The sequence below is a fragment of the Homo sapiens genome, chromosome 10 (assembly GCF_000001405.40).
Source record: "Homo sapiens chromosome 10, GRCh38.p14 Primary Assembly".
Lineage (NCBI taxonomy): Eukaryota > Metazoa > Chordata > Mammalia > Primates > Hominidae > Homo > Homo sapiens.
In genome coordinates, this window is record NC_000010.11 from 32,868,064 (window position 1) to 32,890,315 (window position 22,252).

The 22,252-nt window shown below is 37.1% G+C and overlaps 1 protein-coding gene across 39 annotated transcripts in view, besides 2 other annotated features; it reads left to right on the forward strand.

Moving 5' to 3' along the window:
- The window catches only part of CCDC7 (coiled-coil domain containing 7), a 439,541-nt gene extending 424,740 nt beyond the window's left edge, over positions 1 to 14,801 (forward strand). For 38 of the 39 annotated variants that reach the window (XM_047425743.1, XM_047425742.1, NM_001321115.2 and 35 more), the window contains 2 exons: positions 8,284 to 8,517; positions 14,630 to 14,801. In XM_047425743.1, coding sequence (XP_047281699.1) covers positions 8,284 to 8,330 — 47 coding nt within the window. In that variant the 3' untranslated portion in view covers positions 8,331 to 8,517; positions 14,630 to 14,801. Of the gene's footprint in view, positions 1 to 3,021; positions 3,062 to 8,283; positions 8,518 to 14,629 lie in introns of those variants that run through there. The other variant, XM_011519664.1, reaches the window with a different exon arrangement.
- Positions 19,148 to 19,649: an enhancer, noted in NCBI's record as "H3K4me1 hESC enhancer chr10:33176139-33176640 (GRCh37/hg19 assembly coordinates)". NCBI's record gives its function as "activates a minimal SCP1, AML or CMV promoter by ChIP-STARR-seq in primed H9 embryonic stem cells {active_cell/tissue: H9 hESC(primed)}" and the evidence as "EXISTENCE:reporter gene assay evidence [ECO:0000049][PMID:30033119]".
- Positions 19,650 to 20,149: an enhancer, noted in NCBI's record as "H3K4me1 hESC enhancer chr10:33176641-33177140 (GRCh37/hg19 assembly coordinates)". NCBI's record gives its function as "activates a minimal SCP1, AML or CMV promoter by ChIP-STARR-seq in primed H9 embryonic stem cells {active_cell/tissue: H9 hESC(primed)}" and the evidence as "EXISTENCE:reporter gene assay evidence [ECO:0000049][PMID:30033119]".

Sequence of the window (22,252 nt, forward strand, 5' to 3'; positions counted from 1 at the left end):
AGATTCATCCATGTTGTAGTATGTGTTGGAATTTCCTTCCTTTATTTAACTGAATCATATTACATTGTATGTATATACCACATTTTGCTTAATTATTCATCCATCAGCTGACACTTGGGCTTCCTCTACCTTTTGGCTATTTTGACAAATGCTGCTATAAAAACGGGTGTACAAATATTTGTTCCTGTTCTACTCTTTTGGGTATATAAATGAAAGTGGAATTACTGGATCATGTGGTAATTCTATTGTTAATTTTTTGAGAACTCACCATACTGTTTACCACAGAGGCTGTGCCATTTTCCTCTGTATCTACTCATCTGTTTCTTTAGTTTTAGGGGCACTGGTTTGCTCTGTGACCTCAATTCTCATATGGATCTAAGTTTGGTCAGCTTTTTTCTTACTATGTGAATGGAAGAGATGACTTCCAAGCTCTTTATGTGCCAGACAAGAAGTTGTAGTGTAGTGTTTTCAAGATTCATCTATGTTTTAGCATTTATCAGCACATTATTCTTTTTTTTTAATACTTTAAGTTCTAAGGTACATGTGCACAACGTGCAGGTTAGTTACATATGTATCCATGTGCCATGTTGGTGTGCTGCACCCATTAACTCATCATTTAACATTAGGTATATCTCCTAATGCTATCCATCCCCCCTCCCCCCACCCCACAAAAGGCCCTGGCGTGTGATGTTCCCCTTCCTGTGTCCACGTGTTCTCACTGTTCAATTCCCACCTATGAGTGAGAACATGTGGTGTTTGGTTTTTTGTCCTTCCGATACTTTGCTGAGAATGATGGTTTCCAGCTTCATCCATGTCCCTACAAAGGACATGAATTCATTCTTTTTTATGGCTGCATAGTATTCCATGGTGTATATGTGCCACATTTTCTTAATCCAGTCTATCATTGTTGGACATTTGGGTTGGTTCAAAGTCTTTGCTATTGTGAATAGTGCCACAATAAACATACGCGTGCATGTGTCTTTATAGCAGCATGATTTATAATCCTTTGGGTATATACCCAGTAATGGGATTGCTGGGTCAAATGGTATTTCTAGTTCTAGATCCCTGAGGAATTGCCACACTGACTTCCACAATGGTTGAACTAGTTTACACTCCCACCAGCAGTGTAAAAGTGTTCTTATTTCTCCACATCCTCTCCAGCACCTGTTGTTTCCTGACTTTTCAATGATCGCCATTCTAACTGGTGTGAGATGGTATCTCATTGTGGTTTTGACTTGCATTTCTCTGATGGCCAGTGATAATGAGCATTTTTTCATGTGTCTGTTGGCTGCATAAATGTCTTCTTTTGAGAAGTGTCTGTTCATATCCTTCACCCACTTTTTGATGGGGTTGTTTTTTTCTTGTAAATTTGTTTGAGTTCATTGTAGATTCTGGATATTAGCCCTTTGTCACATGAGTAGATTGCAAAAATTTTCTCCCATTTTGTAGGTTGCCTGTTCACTCTGATGGTAGTTTCTTTTCTGTGCAGAAGCTCTTTCGTTTAATCGGATCCTATTTGTCAATTTTGGCTTTTGTTGCCATTGCTTTTGGTGTTTTAGACATGAAGTCCTTGCCCATGTCTATGTCCTGAATGGTATTGCCTAGGTTTCCTTCTAGGGTTTTTATGGGTTTAGGTCTAACATTTAGGTCTTTAATCCATCTTGAATTAATTTTTGTATAAGGTGTAAGGAAGGGATCCAGTTTCAGCTTTCTACATATAGCTAGCCAGCACCATTTATTAAATAGGGAATCGTTTCCCCATTTCCCAGCACCATTTATTAAATAGGGAATCCTTTCCCCATTTCTTGTTTTTGTCAGGTTTGTCAAAGATCAGATGGTTGTAGATATGTAGCATTATTTCTGAGGGCTCTGTTCTGTTCCATTGGTCTATATCTCTGTTTTGGTACCAGTACCATGCTCTTTGCTTACTGTAGCCTTGTAGTATAGTTGGAAGTCAGGTAGCGTGATGCCTCCAGCTTTGTTCTTTTGGCTTAGGATTGACTTGGCAATGCGGGCTCTTTTTTGGTGCCATATGAACTTTAAAGTAGTTTTTTCCAATTCTGTGAAGAAAGTCATTGGTAGCTTAATGGGGATGGCATTGAATCTGTAAATTACCTTGGGCAGTATGGCCATTTTCACGATTCTATTGATTCTTCCTACCCATGAGCATGGAATGTTCTTCCATTTGTTTGTGTCCTCTTTTATTTCACTGAGCAGTGGTTTGTAGTTCTCCTTGAAGAGGTCCTTCACATCCCTTATAAGTTGGATTCCTAGGTATTTTATTCTCTTTGAAGCAATTGTGAATGGGAGTTCACTCATGATTTGGCTCTGTTTGTCTGTTATTGGTGTATAAGAATGCTTATGATTTTTGCACATTGATTTTGTATCCTGAGACTTTACTGAAGTTGCCTATCAGCTTAAGGAGATTTTGGGCTGAGATGATGGGGTTTTCTAGATATACAATCATGTCATCTCCAAACACGGACAATTTGACTTCCTCTTTTCCTAATTGAATACCCTTTATTTCCTTCTCCTGCCTGATTGCCCTGGCCAGAACTTCCAACACTATGTTGAATAGGAGTGATGAGAGAGGGCATCCCTGTCTTGTGCCAGTTTTCAAAGGGAATGCTTCCAGTTTTTGCCCATTCAGTATGATATTGGCTGTGGGTTTGTCATAGATAGCTCTGATTATTTTGAGATACATCCCATCAATACCTAATTTATTGAGTTTTTAGCATGACGAGTTGTTGAATTTTGTCAAAGGCTTTTTCCGCATCTATTGAGATTATCATATGGTTTTTGTCTTTTGTTCTGTTTATATGCTGGATTACATTTACTGATTTGCGTATGTTGAACCAGCCTTGCATCCCAGGGATGAAGCCCACTTGATCATGGTGGATAAGCTTTTTGATGTGCTGCTGGATTCGGTTTGCCAGTATTTTATTGAGGATTTTTGCATGAATGTTCATCAGGGATATTGGTCTAAAATTCTCTTTTTTTGTTTTGTTGTGTCTCTGCCAGGCTTTGGTATCAGGATGATGCTGGCCTCATAAAATGAGTTACGGAGGATTCTCTCTTTTTCTATTGATTGGAGTAGTTTCAGAAGGAATGGTACCAGTTCCTCCTTGTACCTCTGGTAGAATTCGGCTGTGAATCCATCGGGTCCTGGACTTTTTTTGGTTGGTAAGCTATTAATTATTGCCTCAATTTCAGAGCCTGTTATTGGTCTATTCAGAGATTCAACTTCTTCCTGGTTTAGTCTTGGGAGGATGTATGTGTTGAGGAATTTATCCATTTCTTCTAGATTTTCTAGTTTATTTGCGTAGAGGTGTTTATAGTATTCTCTGATGGTAGTTTGTATTTCTGTGGGATCAGTGGTGATATCCCCTTTATCATTTTTTATTGCGTCTATTTGATTCTTCTCTTTTTTCTTCTTTATTAGTCTTGCTAGCGGTCTGTCAATTTTGTTGATCATTTCAAAAAACCAGCTCCTGGATTCATTGATTTTTTGAAGGGTTTTTTGTGTCTCTATTTCCTTCAATTCTGCTCTGATCTTAGTTGTTTCTTGCCTTCTGCTAGCTTTTGAATGTGTTTGCTCTTGCTTCTCTCGTTCTTTTAATTGTGATGTTAGGGTGTCCATTTTAGATCTTTCCTGCTTTCTCTTGTGGGCATTTAGTGCTATAAATTTCCCTCTACACACTGCTTTGAATATGTCCCAGAGATTCTGGTATGTTGTGTCTTTGTTCTCATTGGTTTCAAAGAACATCTTTATTTCTGCCTTCATTTCATTATGTACCCAGTAGTCATTCAGGAGCAGGTTGTTCAGTTTCCATGTCCTTGAGCGGTTTTGAGTGAGTTCCTTAATCCTGAGTTCTAGTTTGATTGCACTGTGGTCTGAGAGACAGTTTGTTATAATTTCTGTGCTTTTACATTAGCTGAGGAGTGCTTTACTTCCAAATATGTGGTCAATTTTGGAATAGGTGTGGTGTGGTGTGGTGCTGGAAAGATTGTATATTCTGTTGATTTGGGGTGGAGAGTTCTGTAGATGTCTATTAGTTCCGCTTGGTGCAGAGCTGAGTTGAAGACCTGGATATCCTTGTTAACTTTCTGTCTCGTTGATCTGTCTAATGTTGACAGTGGGGTGTTAAAGTCTCCCATTGTTATTGTGTGGGAGTCTAAGTCTCTTTTTAGGTCTCTAAGGACTTGCTTCCTGTTGAATTGATCCCTTTACCATTATGTAATGGCCTTCTTTGTCTCTTTTGATCTTTGTTGGTTTATCAGAGACTAGGATTGCAACCCCTGCCTTTTTTTGTTTTCCATTTGCTTCGTAGATCTTCCTCCATCCCTTTATTTTGAGCCTATGTGTGTCTCTGCACGTGAGATGGGTTTCCTGAATACAGCACACTGATGGGTCTTGACTCTTTATCCAATTTGCCAGTCTGTGTCTTTTAATTGGAGCATTTTGCCTATTTACATTTAAGGTTAATATTGTTATGTGTGAATTTGATCCTGTCATTATGATGTTAGCTGGTTATTTTGCTCGTTAGTTGATGCAGTTTCTTCCTAGCATCGATGGTCTTTACAATTTGGCATGTTTTTGCAGTGGCTGGTACCGGTTGTTCCTTTCCATGTTTAGTGCTTCCTTCAGGAGCTCTTTTAGGGCAGGCCTGGTGGTGACAAAATCTCTCAGCATTTGCTTGTCTGTAAAGGATTTTATTTCTCCTTCACTTATGAAGCTTAGTTTGGCTGGATATGAAATTCTGAGTTGAAAATTCTTCTCTTTAAGAATGTTGAATATTGGCCCCCACTCTCTTCTGGCTTATAGAGTTTCTGCTGAGAGATCGGCTGTTAGTCTGATGGGCTTCCCTTTGTGGGTAACCGGTGTTTCTCTCTGGCTGCCCTTAACATTTTTTCCTTCATTTCAACTTTGGTGAATCTGACAATTATGTGTCTTGGATTTGCTCTTCTCGAGGAGTATCTTTTTGGCTTTCTCTGTATTTCCTGAATTTGAATGTTGGCCTGCCTTGCTAGATTAGGGAAGTTCTCCTGGATAATATCCTGCTGAGTGTTTTCCAACTTGGTTCCATTCTCCCTGTCACTTTCAGGTACACCAATCAGACATAGATTTGGTCTTTTCACATAGTCCCATATTTCTTGGAGTCTTTGTTCATTTCTTTTTATTCTTTTTTCTCTAAACTCTTCTCGCTTCTTTTTATTCATTTGATCTTCCATCATTGATACCCTTTCTTCCAGTTGATCGAATTGGCTACTGAGGCTTGTGCATTCATCACATAGTTCTCGTGCCATGGTTTTCAGCTCCATCAGGTCCTTTAAGGACTTCTCTGCATTGGTTATTCTAGTTAGCCATTCATCTAATTTTTTTTCAAGGTTTTTAACTTCTTTGCCGTGGGTTCGAACTTCCTCCTTTAGCTTGCAGTAGTTTGATCGTCTGAAGCCTTCTTCTCTCAACTCGTCAAAGTCATTCTCTGTCCAGCTTTGTTCCATTCCTTATTCTTTTCTTTTAATGGAATAGTCTGTACCACATTTTGTTTATCCGCTCACCAGTTGGTGGACATTTGGATTGTTTTCACTTTTAGACTATTTTGAATGATGCTGCTATGAACATTCATGTGACATTCTTTTTGTGGATATATATTTTCATTTATCTTGGATATATACCTATTAGTGGAATTGCCGGGTTGTGTAGGAAATTTATGTTTAATTTTTAGGAAGCTGCCACACTACTTTTTAAAGTGGCTGTACCATTTTACCATCCCACCAGCACTGTGTGAATGTTCTCATTTATCTATGTCCTTGCCATCATTTGTTATTGTCTGTCTGTCTTATGATAGTCATTGTAGCAGGTATGAATTATTGATATTTTAAAATGAGAAATAATGCATATATATATGGTTAAAATGCAAATGATATAGAAAAGTATACAATTAATAATTAAAATCACTTTTCCTTCACCAAATCCTGTCTCAAAAAGTAACTAGTCTCAAGCATTTTGTATAACATAAAGAGAAAACCTGTTTAGAGTAATATGCATCCTATGCTGAAAGTCATATATATATATTTTTATATGTACATATATAATTATATTCAATTATAAAGATATATAAATATATTAACATAAATGTGTATATAATTTAATATAAAATGTATATTTATTATTATTTATTAAAAGAAATCACACATCTTTTCTGCAACTAAACTCTTTTTTTACTTCAATAGCTTTGTGGGGGTACAAGTGGTCTTTTGTCCCCTGGCTGAATTGTATGGTGGTGAAATCTAGGATTTTAGTGCACCCATCACCTGAGTTGTGTGCATTATACCCAATAGGTAGTTTTTCATCCCTCACCCACCTGTCATCCTCTCCCCTTCTGAGCCTCCAGTGTCCATTATACCACTCTGTATGCCTTTGTGTGCACATAGCTTAGCTGCCACTTATAAGTGAGAACATGTGGTATTTGGTTTCCGATTCGAATTACTTCACTTAGAATAATGGCCTCCAGTTCCATCCAAGTTGCTGCAAAAGACATTATTTCATTACTTTTTATGGCTGAGTAGTATTCCATGCATGTGTGTATGTATATATATATATACATACACACACACACATACACACATATGTATGTGCATATATAAATAAAACTTTTATATATATACACACACACCAACATATCTACACACACACACACACACACACACACACACATATATACACACATATATATACTCACCACATTTTCTTTATCCACTCATCATTGCTTTTGGGGTCTTAGTCATAAATTCTTTGCCTAGGCCAATGCCCAGAAGAATTTTATGTAGGTTTTCTTCTAGAATTTTTATGGTTTCAGGTCTTAGATTTAAGTCTTTAATTCATCTTGAGTCAATTTTTGTACATTGTGAGAGATAGGGATCCAGTTTCATTCTCTACATGTGGCTATCAAATTTTCCCAGCATCATTTAATGAATTGGATGTCATTTTCCCAATTTATGTTTTTGTATGTTTCATCAAAGATCATTTGGCTGAAGTATTTGGCTTTATTTTTGGGTTCTCTATTCTGTTCCATTAGTCTATGTATTTACTTTTATACCAGTACCATGCTTTTGGCATCTTCGTCATGAAATCTTTGCCTGATCCTATGTCCAGAATGGCATTGCCTAGGTTGTCTTCCAGGGTTTTTATACTTTGGGATTTTACATTTAAGTCTTTAATCCATCTTGAGTTAATTTTTGTATAAGGTTTAAGGAAGGGGTCCAGTTTCAATCTTCTGCATATGGCTAGCCAGTTATCCCAGCACCATTTATTGAACAGGGAGTCTTTTCCCTATTGCTTGTTTTTGTCAGGTTTGTCAAAGATCAGATGGTTGTAGATGTGCAGCCTTATTTCTGGGCCCTCTGTTCTGTTTCATTGGTCGGTGTGTCTGTTTTTGTACCAGTACCATGCTGTTTTGGTTACTGTAGCCTTGTATCATATCTTGAAAGTCTTTCCGTATCAGCACATCCAAATCAATCAAATTATTTTTAAGTCCTTTATATTTAGATCTATCATAGCTTATGAGCCTCTGTTAAATAGGCCCTTTGGTTGTTTCCCGTTTTTTCTATGTAACAAACAATGTTGCAACAAAGATTATTGAAATCAAGAGATATTTTATGACTCCATCTTAGTTTCCATTAGCTTAAAGATGAGTCTTCTGCCTAAAATGGACTTGCTGTTATTTCCTCCATGATACTAAGTTAATTTTGTTGTGGTTTACAAATTGGCCTCTCATTTAAAACTGACTGATTTTTTGAAGAACCATAGGCATATTAAGTATATACATTTTTTTTGTATGCCAAAATACAAAATTCCAGTGAACTGGAACTTTTTGAATGTCTCCATTAAGACTTCTTAAAGTGTGGTCTCTGGGCTAGCAGCATGGGCATCGCCTGGGAACTTCTAAGAAATGCAGTTTCTTAGGCCGCAACCCCAGAACTACTGAATCAGAAGCTCTGGGTTCAGGTCCAGAAATCTGTTTTAGTAAGTTGTCTGAGCGATTCTGTTGCTAGCTAAAGTTGGAGAACCATTATCTATATTTATACTCCTCTAAGTTGAGAATGTCACAGCATCATTCTATAAAAACAATAGGTAGGTAGATTTATATACTATTTTCCATTTTCATTGTTTATATTATTCATACATTCTGTTTTCCATGATATCATATACAATAAAAATTATATCAACTGGAGTAAAATTAAACTTTTTTTCAATTAACACATAACTTTTCTTTAAAGTGTTACATGCTGCTGCCCGAAAATCTGTACCACACCCATACTTTTGAGAATGAAGGAAATTCTGAGCAAGATAAGCAACATGACAAATTCAGAAATGCAGGAAAGGAAATTGCAAGTATAGAAGCCTTTTGAAAATAATACTGACTCGTGTGGATGGTGCTTATTGAAAAACAGCTGGAAATACAGTGGATCAACAGGGTAGGCCCAGATCACAGAAGGCCTGACCAGGCAGTGGTGAGTTTGAAAGTTTCAAATTACTTTATTACTTTTCTTTTCAATTTTAAAGAAGTTATGCAATTATCTTTTAAATCACAAATAATAAAAATATTCACCCTATTCAAAATATTAATTTTTTGAACAATGCATAACCAACTTAGAAAAAGGAAAAGATGTAAAAAATATATGACAATAACCTGATATGTGTTAAGCATACTCTGTAGAATTTGTAATGGCACAAAATACAACTGCTAATAATTTTAAAGATGTGATTCTTACCAATCAAATGTTTTATAACACTGAAATAGTATTTGTAACTGCGTTTTTACTGTCCCCTGAAGAGCATAAATATTATTGGCTATAAAATTGTCCTAAACCCAATCTGGGTTATCACTGACATAAATATTTAGACTTGCAGAATATTCTTTTATGCCTTAAATTTTCCTATTTTTCCCCAGCAAGAATCAGAGGAATGAGCAGTAATATTAATCTAAATATTCTGGAGTTATGTTTCTGCCAAAAAATAATAAAGAAAATTGGATTTCTACTCAAACAAAATAAAGTGAAATAAAATGACTGAAATAGTTTCCATCCTTTATAATCTCCCATTGTAAAGATATTATTTACATTTTATATAGTAATGAAAAATGAACAATTTATATGGTTAGAAAAACTCATGAATTCAGCATAATGAAACTGTCAAGAGAAAATAAATGGAGAAATTATTCCCTAGTGATCAATTATTCTCTAAAACTGTGAAAGATCCCAAAGGTAACATAAATGTGAACTATATTAATAACTCTGGTGAGGGTTTTGGAGAGAATATATGCAGAAATGAATAGCAGAATTGTTATTGCAAGTTGCCGATAATTGGGTTGTGAATAAAGTGGATTTTATGTTTCTTTCTATAATTATTTTTATAGTTTTAGTGTAGTATGGAAGACTACCTGCAATGGGTGGTGATTGTTAGGGTTATCTAAACTAGATCCAATCCAGCTTCTCAGTTTGCCCCTATGAACTACCTGGATAACAATGCCAGCTCTATCTTAATTCCCATTAGTTAAGTCTGGGATTCAGCAGGCTTTTCTATAAAACATGGAGGAAGTTTTATTTTCACTGAAGCTCTGCCTTTATAGAATACTTATTTGATTAAATGAGGTAATGCATTTTCTAAATCAGTACTTTTCAAGCCTAAATACAAAATAGAACTCACCTGGGGCTTTTAAAGCCTACCAGTTTTCTGCCTTGCATCCCCAGACCAATTAAACCAGATTCTCTGTGTGATTCTAATACGCAGCCAGAGTTGAGAACCATGGAGCTTATTGTTTGAAGAGGATACAAGGGAAATAAACTAATGCCCAAGCCCATATGCAAATGGTTGCAGTTGATTTTTTTTTTTTTAATCCAGGTCCTGTAGCTACTGGCAGAGGAGACCCAGTTAATAGATTCAAGCTATCTTGGCTTCATTTAAATGGTCCTCCTCCTAGACCATCTTTTTCATGGCAATTATGACTCCTCAGCACTTTTCAGTAGAATGTTTTGTGATATAAAAATATTCCACACCTGTGCCCTACAGTATGGGAGGTATGACTCATATGTGGCTCTTGGGCTCTTTATATGTGGGTAGTGTGACTGGGAATCTAGATTTTTAATTTTACATACATTTGATTAGTTTAAACATGAATAATCCTATGTGGCTTGTGGCTCCCATATTGAACTGTGCAACTCCAGAATTACCAATGATCCAATAGCCACCAGGACCTGGGAAGGCAGTGAGCTATTCAGAGGGATATACAGAAAATATTTCTGCTTGAATATGAACCAGTCATTAGACTGGTTCAACTAAAAATAGCTCCTTGGAGAAGTAGGACCAGGAATAGTCTTTCAACTGAGCTTTGGGGTAAAATGTAATACTTTTTCAGGATAGCAGGATAACCCTTAATATTGAGCAGGGGATGCCAGTTTTAACCAATGACTCTAATTAGCTCAAATTAGGCCAGAATCAGGGCAAATGTGAATAGGGTCTAGGGTCTTTGAAAGACTTTGGCTGCCATCAAAGGTAAGGCTACTCCCAGATTATGAGGTAGTCAGATCTAAGAATGAATACTCAGTGAACCCTGGAAATTCAAAAATTCCTTTGGTTCTATTGTGAGAAACTCAATAGCTGACAACTTGCTGGAGATCATATGAATGCTTTAAATAAACTGAATGACAACAGGGAGTATTTCTCTAGTCTTTTGAATGTGTTTTTCTTTTGATTGATCTAATGATGGTGCTGCTAAAGACAAATCTGAACTGCTGAAGCCAAATATAAATGGGAAGTCTGTTTTGGTATATAAATTAGGATATTCATCAACAAATGCTGTCCAGAAAGAAAGCAGTGGAAGAATAATATTTTATTCATAAAATGTATGGGGCCATTCATGCTGTTCAGGCCATTCAAATTGGCAAGGGGCCTTCTAGTACACCATTCTTTACTTGTCACTATCTCTAATTTTTTTTTTATTTAAGTTCTGAGATACATGTGTAGGATGTACAGGTTTGTTACATAGTTAAACGTGTGCCATCGTGGTTTGCTGCACCCATCAACCTTATCTTCATCCTTATCCTTTTTTAAAAAAATTTTGATTATCATCTAAGTTTAATATAAATATATATGTTTGAAAGAGTAATAAAAAAGGAAGAACTGAATTGCATCCATAGCAGGACAAGTTTCCTCATACGTTAAAGAGGTGTTCAGAAAATTCCATACAGTATCTGCTAAATAAACATGTTTCGCAGCTTAGCAAAGATTATATGATAGCAGCATCCATGATTTGAAGTAAAACAGCATTTGCTTTCTTCTGCTGGAGGTCGTTGCTCGGGGCGATGTGCATGTTCTTAGACCTACAGCCTTAAGGAAGGGCTTGGGGGTGGCTCAGTGCATGGCCCCAGTGCAGACACTTCCAAACCCCAAACAATGAATCAACCAACCAAACACACAAACATCAAACAATTGTCTCCTTTGAGTTCCTCTTGACCGAATGGAGGCTCAGCAAGGACTGCTGTAGAAGGTACATTAACAGATTTTGGAATGAGGAAAATACCTTAATACCTAGGTATTAAGCCTCGCATGCATTAGCTATTTTTCCTGATGCTCTCCCTCCCCCAACCCACAATAGGCCCCACTGTGTGTTGTTCCCCTCCCTGTGTCCATGCATTCTCATTGTTCAGCTCTCACTTATAAGTGAGAACCTGTGGTGATTGGTTTTCTGTTCCTGCATTAGTTTGCTGAGTATAATGACTTCCAGCTCCAACCATGTCCCTGCAAACGACATGATCTCATTCCTTTTTATGGCTACATAGTATTCCATGGTGTATATGTACATTTTCTTTATCCAGTCTACCACTGATGGGCATTTGGGTTGATTCCATGTCTTTGCTATTATAAATAATGCTGAAATGAACATACATTTGCATATATATTTATAATAGAATGATTTACATTCCTTTGGGTATATACCCAGTAATGGGATTGCTGGGTCAAATGGTATTTCTGGTTCTAGATCTTTGAGGAATGGCCACACTGTCTTCCACAATGGTTGAACTAGTTTACACTCCCACCAGCAGTGTAAAAGTGTTCCTATTTCTCCATAGCATCGCCAGCATCTGTTGTTTCTTGACTTTTTAATAATCGCCATTCTGACTGGTGTGAGATGGTATCTCATTGTGGCTTTGATTTGCATTTCTCTAATGATTAGTGATGTGGAGCTTTTCTTCATGTGTTTCTTGGCCACATAAATGTCTTCTTTCGAGAAGTGTCTGTTCATGTCTTTTGCCTGCTTTTTAATGGGGTTTTTTCTTTAAATTTGTTTAAGTTCCTTGTAGATTCTTTATGTTAGACCTTTGTCAGATGGATAGATGGCAAAAATTTTCTCCCATTCTGTAGGTTGTCCGTTCACTCTGATAATAGTTTCTTTTGCTGTGCAGAAGCTCCTTAGTTTAATTAGATCCCATTTGTCAATTTTTCTTTTGTTGCAATTGCTTTTGACATTTTCATCATGAAATCTTTGCCCATGCCTATATCCTGAATGGTATTACCTAGATTTTCTTCTAGGATTTGTATAGTTTTGGGTTTTACATCTAAGTCTTTAATCCATCTTGAGTTAATTTTTGTATAAGGTGCAAGGAAGGAGTCCAGCTTCTGCATATGGCTAGCCAGTTATCACAGCACCATTTATTAGACAGGGCATCCTTTCCCTATTGCTTGTTTTTGTCAGGTTTGTTGAAGATCAGATGGCTGTAGATGTGTGGTCTTAGTTCTGAGCTCTCTATTCTGTTCCATTGGTCTATGTGTCTGTTTTTGTACCAATACCAACTGTTTTGGTTAAGGCTACACTATCTGTAATTTAAATCAAATTGTTAGTGTCCTAAACATTCAGGAGATCAGATATCAACAGAAGTGACTAGTAAGATAGTGTTACCATTTGATGCCACAGTACTTTTTTAGAGGCAAAAATCCCATTTTCTTTTTCAAGAAGAACATGTGATTACTTTTGGGGAGGGTTTGAGGAACTTCTTTTCTCCCTTCATAAGTTGGTGGCTAACATTTTGCACAGGGGCCATGATTCCAGGTGCAGAGACAAAAGGTATGTTCACTGGGGAGTTCCTAGGTACCAGTTGATTATAGAGTTATTGTTATGATGCAGGGGCAACTGCCTACTTCTGATTTTAAAAATGGTTCTCAGTGTGTTGTGTTCTTATCTATGTCAATGAGCACTGGGGTGGCAAATAAAATTAAATTTTAATAGGTTGTGGGCATTAATTATAACTTAAAGGATATAGGATATGAATTTTCAACAAAATTATTGAGCCATTGGGCCAAGGAATAAGTGGTGTTGATCACTAAAATTCAGGGAACTCATAACTTTTAACTGAGTGAGATCTTGGTGCATGAAGCCTGAAACTTTCATTTATCATTGTTTAAATCTAAAGGCAGGAACTCCCACTCAGAGTTTCACTGAGACAAAGACTGAAGTCTCTGAATTCACAGATTCAAACTCAGAAAAGGCCTTTTGATTGCTGTCTTTTCCTAACCCTTTTATCACCTTCCTAGCCAGCCAGTCATGTACCCAAATTGCAGATGGTAAGCTTACAGGCTGGGTGCTCATGGTCAACATTTCTTTACCCGCCCCCCACACCCCACAATTACAGGCATACTTTGCTTGCAAAGAGCACAGAATTCTCAAACCCTTCAGTTTGGGCAGAGGTCACAGTGGTAAAATGTATGTGTGGATACAATCTCGCCTGTGAGATCTCATCTTCTCATAGTTAAGTCTATCAGTTCAGAGCACACATTCATCATCGAGGATCACGACACAAGTTCATCTAACTTGCTTAAGGACATAAAGCTCATAAGCAACAGATAAAGGGTGGGTAACTAGATGATTGGACTCTACAGACAATGAGTTTAACCTCTAGCATATACTCCATCACAAGGACAAAGTCCATAAGAGCCAGTCTCATAATGCTAAAGAAAAATTTTTGACACTTGATAAACATGGTAAGGAAGACTTTATTAAAGACCATTGCAATAGAAGAGGGAGATTCAACTCCAAGTACAGCAAGGAAAGCTAAGAATTTATAGACAAAGAGCAGAGTGAAGGGGTCAGCAGATGGAAAATTGTTAAGAGGAGATATCAAGTGTAGAGGGATTCTTGCTTAACCGGCCTAACAAGATTCTTCTTAGAGGCAGATTAAGGACTTAGACATTAACGGCGAGGGGTGAGAAACTTGGTTAGATATCAAGCATGAGAGATTCTCGCTAAACTGACTTAGTAGGATTTTTGCTTAAGGCAGGCCAAGGATGAGGCCTAGTTGAGAAGAGGGCGTAGAGAAGCCTAGCTAAAGTTTGAACACGGAGGGAGTCATTGTCAATGTTCAGCTAAAAAGAATATTTTAGGATTGAAAGATCATTGATTTTTGAAAAGAGCTCTAGATAATATTTTGAAAAATGCCTTTCAATTAGTGGAAGATACGCCTCAACATCAACACATGCACAAGACTGAACATTTCAGAAAGGTTTGTATGTGTGTATATTAGAAGTTGAATTAAATAAAAAAATTATAATTACTTGTTGATTTATTTTCAGAATGTGTCTTTACCATATGGAACAATTTTGAACTTCTAAGATCAAGCCTTTTTGTTGCTGAGGGTAAGAAAGGAGCTCTGTGATGAGGTTCCAGCTTACTTCTATTCGCCAGTGTCCCTGTAATGCTTTCTGGTGTGATGTAAAATCAATTAAACAAAACTTGTGCTCTGCATGTTTTGAAAATGTATGGTTCTTTAAGTGTCGTATTATTTGCAAGTCTATTCTGTATGATCCTCTAATAGAGAAAAGTCACCTCCATACATTTCTTACACTTCCAGTTAAAGGAATTTAATTTAAAAAAGAGAGTATCTTGCTTTACCTTTTTTCATATTAAAACTAGAAATGTGTGGAAGAGATCAGAACAAAGTATTTATTTATATAACATTTATTAAACCTAGTGAGGCTACAAAGCGATTTACCAGATTTAGGTGAACTATGAAAGATATTGTTTATAAACTCAAAGAACTTATGCTGTGTGGGAATGTTTTCCTGAAAATTAAGTTTAATTGATACTAGTTAAAATGATAATTACTTCACTGACACTAGTTAAGAGGAACATTGAAAAGTATTATGTGAAAAATTTCTTGTAAATATTAAATGTTAGGAATCCAGTATCTTCATATTGTCTTATTTTCTCTTTTGGCCCTGAGACTGATGAATTTTCATTATAGTCACCATCATCTCTAATCATATGCCTCTTTTTATGTGACAATTTGTCTTACTTTTTGGAATTTGTATCAGCTTCTAATATTTCTGAATAGCATTAACATTTTGGTTTCTTATTTACTTGATAACCCAAATGAATACGACAAAATGAAAGAATAGTATTATATATTTATATTAGATCTTATTCAGAATCCAAAAATTATCACACCATTTCAAAGCCTGCTTATATTGGTAGGCTACTGCTTCAGTGAAAAAAAAATCAGTAAGTATTTCAGTTTTTGTGTTTAATAGTTTAACTGTTTCACATGTTATTAGAGGAGCTCAGTATATTAGAGGAGCTCAGACAGTAGTTGTGGATCCCACAGATAGATTCGAATTGGGTTCTTTGTCATATCCGTGGTGCCTCTCAGTAGTACACAGACACATTTTAAAGAAAAACAGATATATTCTCCATCAGGATAGTAAGTTAGTCTTGAAAAATGACAGGCTTTAATTTGAGACTTAAGTAAAGGATAACAGTTTATCCCATTTCACCCACCTCTGTTCTGTATATTTCTTTAAGCAACTCTAGAGCTCAGAGTTTACATTATAACAAATCATATATGATGTGTAATTTTCTACTTCCTGTAGGATTCTTGTCACAACTTAATATTTGAAAGATGATCATTCAGCCTCTACTTAATTATATATCTGGTTACAGAGATCTTACTCTCTCAATTGTAGGAAGTCTCTCACTGTTAGAAATGGTTCATAACATTGGGGTTAATTCTGCCATCGTATAAGTTATACCCATTGATGAAGCTAGAATGAAACTTTAAAAATATTTTAAAGGAGATTAAATGAGATAATAAAAGTGTAGCCTGGCACCAAAAACATTATCTGTTTATTTTCAACAGATCCATTGAAAATGCTTTATGAGAATGATCTCTATGGCTGTGAAGATTAAATAGTATATTTGAAAGTGGTGTTGCTGAGTGGGATCATTAAGGAAAGTTCTACTCAGACTCAAAGACAGAATAGGGATACATTATATCTTATTCCATTATAGAATATATTCCTAATATTATATCAATACTCTGCTTAATTAAGAATAATCCTCAAATGTTTTAACAACATAATATTGACTGCAAAACTGAAATCACATGAGAAACTAATATTCAAGACAAAAACCCTCTATGTAAACACTGAATTCTAGTAATTAAATTTGTTTCTTGTAGGAGTACAGGTTAACAATTCTGAAAACACTTTATGTATATACTGAGGCTGAATTAATAAGTAAAGGTATGATGAAGAGTGGGAGCTGGGTTTTACATGTTTGGAGTGTGAAATAGGTATAGATAAGCAAGATGGAAAGCCTGGATTGAGCCCCAAAGTAATAGGCATATGGAAAGTCTTTGAACTATTTTAGCAACTTGTCTGTAAATTTAAACTAATCGACCACAGAGCATTTGCAGAGCAAAATGAGAAGATGAATAAGAAGCCCTAAATTTTAGATGTGGACAGAAGAACAGCTTCTGTTTTGAGGCTATATGTTGGATTTTATAATTTAACCATTGTACTGCCAGGTTAGGTTTTCTATTTCCAAAGTGGGTAGAACATACTGTATTTGTCTCCTCGGGGAAGGAAAATTAAGCTTAAAGGTCTTGGAAAAAGCATTATTATAACCACCAGTTAGAAGATCAATTGGAGAGTAATTGTAAAAGTGCCATGAAGATATGAGGCATGTAAGAAGCAACATAAAAAGGGTGGCCAAACAGCAGTTTTAAAACAAAACTGAATTTACTGCTTACTGGCAAAGGAAGAATGCACCACACAGATGTAAGTTCAGAAAGTTGTTCAAAGCAGAAATTAAAGGGGTTAAAAGATATATAGAGAAAAACACCAAATAGGGCACGGTCCTGATTAATGGATGTGGATTATGAGCTGGGTTGTAAACTCTTATTTGTATCTGGTTACCTTTAGAGTTAGCATCACTAGTATGGAGAAACAAGGTTTCAAATAGGTCTGGAAAGAAGAGAGAAAATTTTCAGAGAGCCTAGGGTCATGCTTGTATACCCTTGCTCAAAGATTTCCAAGATTTTAACTTAACAGGTGTCATTATCATGTACAGTCTTACTTAGAAGCAAGAAATAAAGCTAAGGAATTTATAGAGGTACCTTCCATTGATAAGATTTAAGGGAAAACTGGTAGTATTTGATAATAAACACTTCATACACAGTTACAAGATTTACATTAGTTTTGAGGAATGACATAAAAAAGATGGACGACTAGGAAGCTTCAGCCCTTGTTCCTAATGGAAACGTTAAATATATACATAGGAAATTTTATGGCATTTTCACTTGCTCTTGCCCCACCAGTGAGGCATGAGGCAGTTAGGAGTAAGCAGCCCAATTCCCAGTTTTCTCCCTCAAACCAGAAGAAGCAGAATAGAGAATATTTGCCACATTCAAAGCTATTTGTGGGCACCCAGAGGGACTGGTTTCTGTCTTGCCAGACTCAAGGCTCAGTGTGGATCTTAAGCTGTAGAAACAGTGGAAGGCAGTGGTAGGCACCATGCCACATGGAAACTGCAGGGGGAAAGCAGATATATGTATGTCTAGGCACAGAAATTATGGGCAGAAGGATATAATAGAACATGTGAGGCCCAAAAAGCAGCTGGGGTGAGACTCTTTGGAAAATTAAGACATCTAAGCAGCCGTCTATATGAGAGAAATTGGGGAGGAAAAGGCACACTAAGGCCCTGGAAGGACACATTCCCAGAAAATACCCATGAAGACAAGCTGATCCTAAAACTCAAGGGCCTGCTGATTAGTGAAGATCTTTTACACCGATCTGCAAAGACTGAGAGAGGTGTTTGTTTTCTCACATGCCCAGTTTTCAAATGAATACCACAAAGGATTAAAAACACAAAACAAAACAAAAACAAACAAACAAAAAAACTATGATCCCTTCAAAGGAATGAAGTAAATCCCTACTGGCTTTCAGCATTTGGCTCACTAGATGAAGACATTAGAGGAACTATCTGAAATATGCTCAAAGACCTAAAGTAAAACACAAAGAACTGACAAAAATTGGGAAAATGACATATGAACAAAATGCATCATCAATGAGACAGAAATTATTTAAAAGAATGAAATAAAGATTCTGTGAAGATGGAGAAGTAGGAAATACCAGAAATCCATCTCTCCACCTACACAGCAATTGTACTGGAAGAAAGTATCTGATGTTACTGTTTTTAACTTTGGAGTCGATTAGAAGGCTTTCAATTTCTAGGGGTCTACTTGAGGGGGGAGGGTGGGAGGAGGGAGAGGGGCAGAAAAAATAACTATCGGGTACTAAGATTAATACCTGGGTGATGAAACAAACCCACATGTTACCTGTTTACCTATGTCACAAAACTTCACCTGTACCCCCAAACCTAAAATAAACATTAAAAAAAAAATCTCTTCACTGGGCGCGGTGGCTCACGGCTGTAATCCTAGCACTTTGGGAAGCCAAGACAGGTGGATTGCCTAAGCTCAGGAGTTCGAGGCCAGCCTGGCCAACATGGTGAAACCCCGTCTCTACTAAAATACAAAAAATTAGCTGGCTGTGGCGGCATGTGCCTGTAATCCCAGCTACTTGGGACGTTGAGGCAGGAGAATTGCTTGAACCCGGGAGGCAGAAGTTGCAGTGAGCCGAGATCACGCCACTGCACTCCAGCCTAGGCAACAGAGCGAGACTCCATCTCCAAAAAAAAAAAAAAAAAAAAAAAAATCTTCTCTCTAAACATTCCTTTCACTTTATCCCCCCAATAAATCTCCCTTTGCATAACATTTTTCAACAAATACTCAGGCCAAAAACTGGCACTTTAACTTACGACTTAGAACTGTTGGGAATAAAACTCCAGAAAAAAGTTGCTATTGAGTACTGAATGTCTTTATTGATAAACTAAATATATATTTAAAGCATAATACGATAATTATGTAGAGGATAAAATATAAATTGTTCACTTAGGAGATTAATACATAAATCATATTTACAGACCATTGACTTGAGAAATACAGTTCGATGACATTTCAATTTGAGCAAAAGATGAGGTGCTCAAGTATGGCATTCTGTCTCATTAAGACAGAATTCAAACTTTCTGCAAAGAAAAAGTCCCTCATTTCTTGGTGTGCTCCAGGACCTCCATATTCTTTAGATTTGGAGGCACCGCCCATTGAGGAGCTGGCTGCAGTGTCAGCGTGAGAAGGAGGAGGAACTCCAGGCCAGGGGCGGGGTACTCCAGATCCACTGGCCTCAAGGACCCCTCAGATGGAGTCAGTGTGGGAGCACAGAGCCTGGCAGCTCGGGAGGCCTGGGTGGAGGGGAAAAGAACAGTGCTGCTCTAAGACCCAGCCCCCTCGTGGGGGAGAGAGCAGCAGGGCTTGGCTCTCAGCTGCATGGCAGGTGTGGAAAAGCTCCTTGTGACGGGGTGGCTCTCATGGCCTCTCCCAGGGCCTCCAGCGTTGTTAGCATCTCTACCAGCTCCTCTTGTTGCCTGGAGAGTCTGGAGGATGTCTCTTCTTTCAGTTCTTGAACGAGGGTGGTAAATTTCTCCATCAGCATCTCGTTGGTGCTATTCACCTTCTTGTAGGCATCTACAAAGCCGGGGGTGTTGAAAGACTTTTTCTGTACCCTGACATCTTTTAAAGATGCCTCAGTCTCTACAATCTGTTTTCTTGCCAATGAGCTGGGATTTCTCCTTCACCTGTGAATGCAGTGTTTCTGCAAGCTGCCTTTCACCTCTTACACAGAGTTGGTTCCTAACAGACAAAGTCAATAAAAGTAAGAGACCCAGCAGTAAGCCCATGAAGTGTGGACACACCACTGTCTTCCCATCGAGGCTGTGGAAAGTGACTTGAGGACTCGCGTCATGGGGTGGCAGCCCCACCATCTCCTCATCCAGCTTCCCTGGAGTCAGCTCAGGGTCCAGCTCCACAGAAGATCGCAGCCCCTCCATGGCACCACAGCCACCACAGGGCTCCGCCCAGTAACCGTGGATCCCACAGCCACAACAGACACCAGAGAACACCCTGACATTCCGCCTGGCATCCAACCAGCAGCGGGCACCCTGAACTGGTCAACTGTATGATCAGCTAGAGGGAGAAATTTGTAAATAAAGTATACATTTCTCTATTATTGTTTAACAGTAATACTTTTCTGTTTTCTTATTCTTTTATATTAACAAAAACTTAAAATATAGTGAAGTGTGCAGATGTTAACTGCATGATTTCAGAAATTTTAAAATTTTATATTTCTTTCAGTAGCCAGCAGCCCTCTCAATGTATGGCTCATGTCCATTAACACAGAAAATCTGTCCTGTAACTTTTCAAATAACATCGTCCACCCCTCCACACGCAGCCCCTGTTTTGATTCCTATTAACATACATCAGTTTGGCCAGTTCTTCAACTTCGTAACAGAGAGATCACAATGTACACTTTCATGTCTGCCTTCTTTGCTGGAAGGTGCCTCCCTATTCCACAGACTTTGGATCAGTGGGTGTGGGGGAATCCAAGGCAGACCATGAAATGAGGCAAACTGATCTATGAGTGAGTTCTTTTGATGGCCTCAGATTAGACATCCAGGTATAAAAGTCCATAGCTCAGAACATGGTTTTCTCTGTAATATAATGGGGAAACTTTTATCTTAGTATATTTATTCTTTAATTTGGTGATTCATAAAGCTGATGGTTTTTTATAGAAAAGGCTTAAATGGTTTTAGTTTCCCATTCAATTCTCTGAATAAATTGACTTTCATTTACTTGCTATTATCAGTTCTCAAGCTATATATCATTATATCATCTAGTCATTTTAGACTAAAACTTTAGTAATTCATATTCATCAGGAATGGGATGTTTCAATTCTAAATTTTCATTCAACATACTCAGTTTCGCTTGTTTTATGTTCATAAAACAATGCATAAATACTAAAGGTAACTTTTCATAGTGTAGGTAATTTTAAAATATATATGTAAATACATAACCAGTTTTAAATTCTTCAGTAAGAAATGAGGATTTTTTTTAACTCAAAACTTGTGTTAGAGAATTTAATCTCACATTCCTACAAAATATCTAACATTCTTACAGTATTTTCTAAAGACCTCCTCGTCCCAGTTATAATTTTACAAATTTCAAATGAAAGATATCAGCACTTAAGCATATGCTCATGCTTAACAAATTTCAAATTAGAAGACAGTTAACAAATTTCAAATTAAAGGACAGTGACGAGGCTGTCATCATGCTTAAGAAAATTGAAGTGATGAAGATGGTGATTTGATGATCCTGATTCTTTGTATATAAAAATATTATTTCCAAGAACTAGGCAAGCATAAGTGCATTTGCGTCCATTCATTCTTTCTCCATATATGATTCATTTAAAATATCCCTTCCCCTCTCATTGACAATGGAAATATATACCCAACTCATTTAGTTAGAATGAAAATTTTGGAGTTTTTGAACCTCACCAAGCCCTTATTTCTGTGCTTGGGTTTTCATTTCTTCCCCACCAAACTATGTCATAGACACTTGCTATGAAGAGATAAATGTGAACACATTAAGTTTTCTTGTTACCAAGCCACAGAGACTAGGATGATAAAAAGAAAGTGAAACCTGTTTAGCAAGAAAGGCTTTGCTCTATTTTATTATTGGGTTAATCAGGAAAACAGGTTCTGATGCAGGACTGTTTGGATTTCCCAGTAACTGTAGCTCAGTATTTGTGATGAAGCTACTCTGAGGTTTTCTTACTACTGTACTTTGAAATAATAAGAAGTGCATGTTTATCTTGTAATAAAAATGTATATGGACAGCAAGGGAACTAGGACAGCTAATGCAATTTTGAAAAACAAGAATGCCAACTCTAACACTTACTGCATACCTAATAAATTCCATATGGTATTGGCAAAGGGATAGACTTATTAATCAATGGGACAGAACA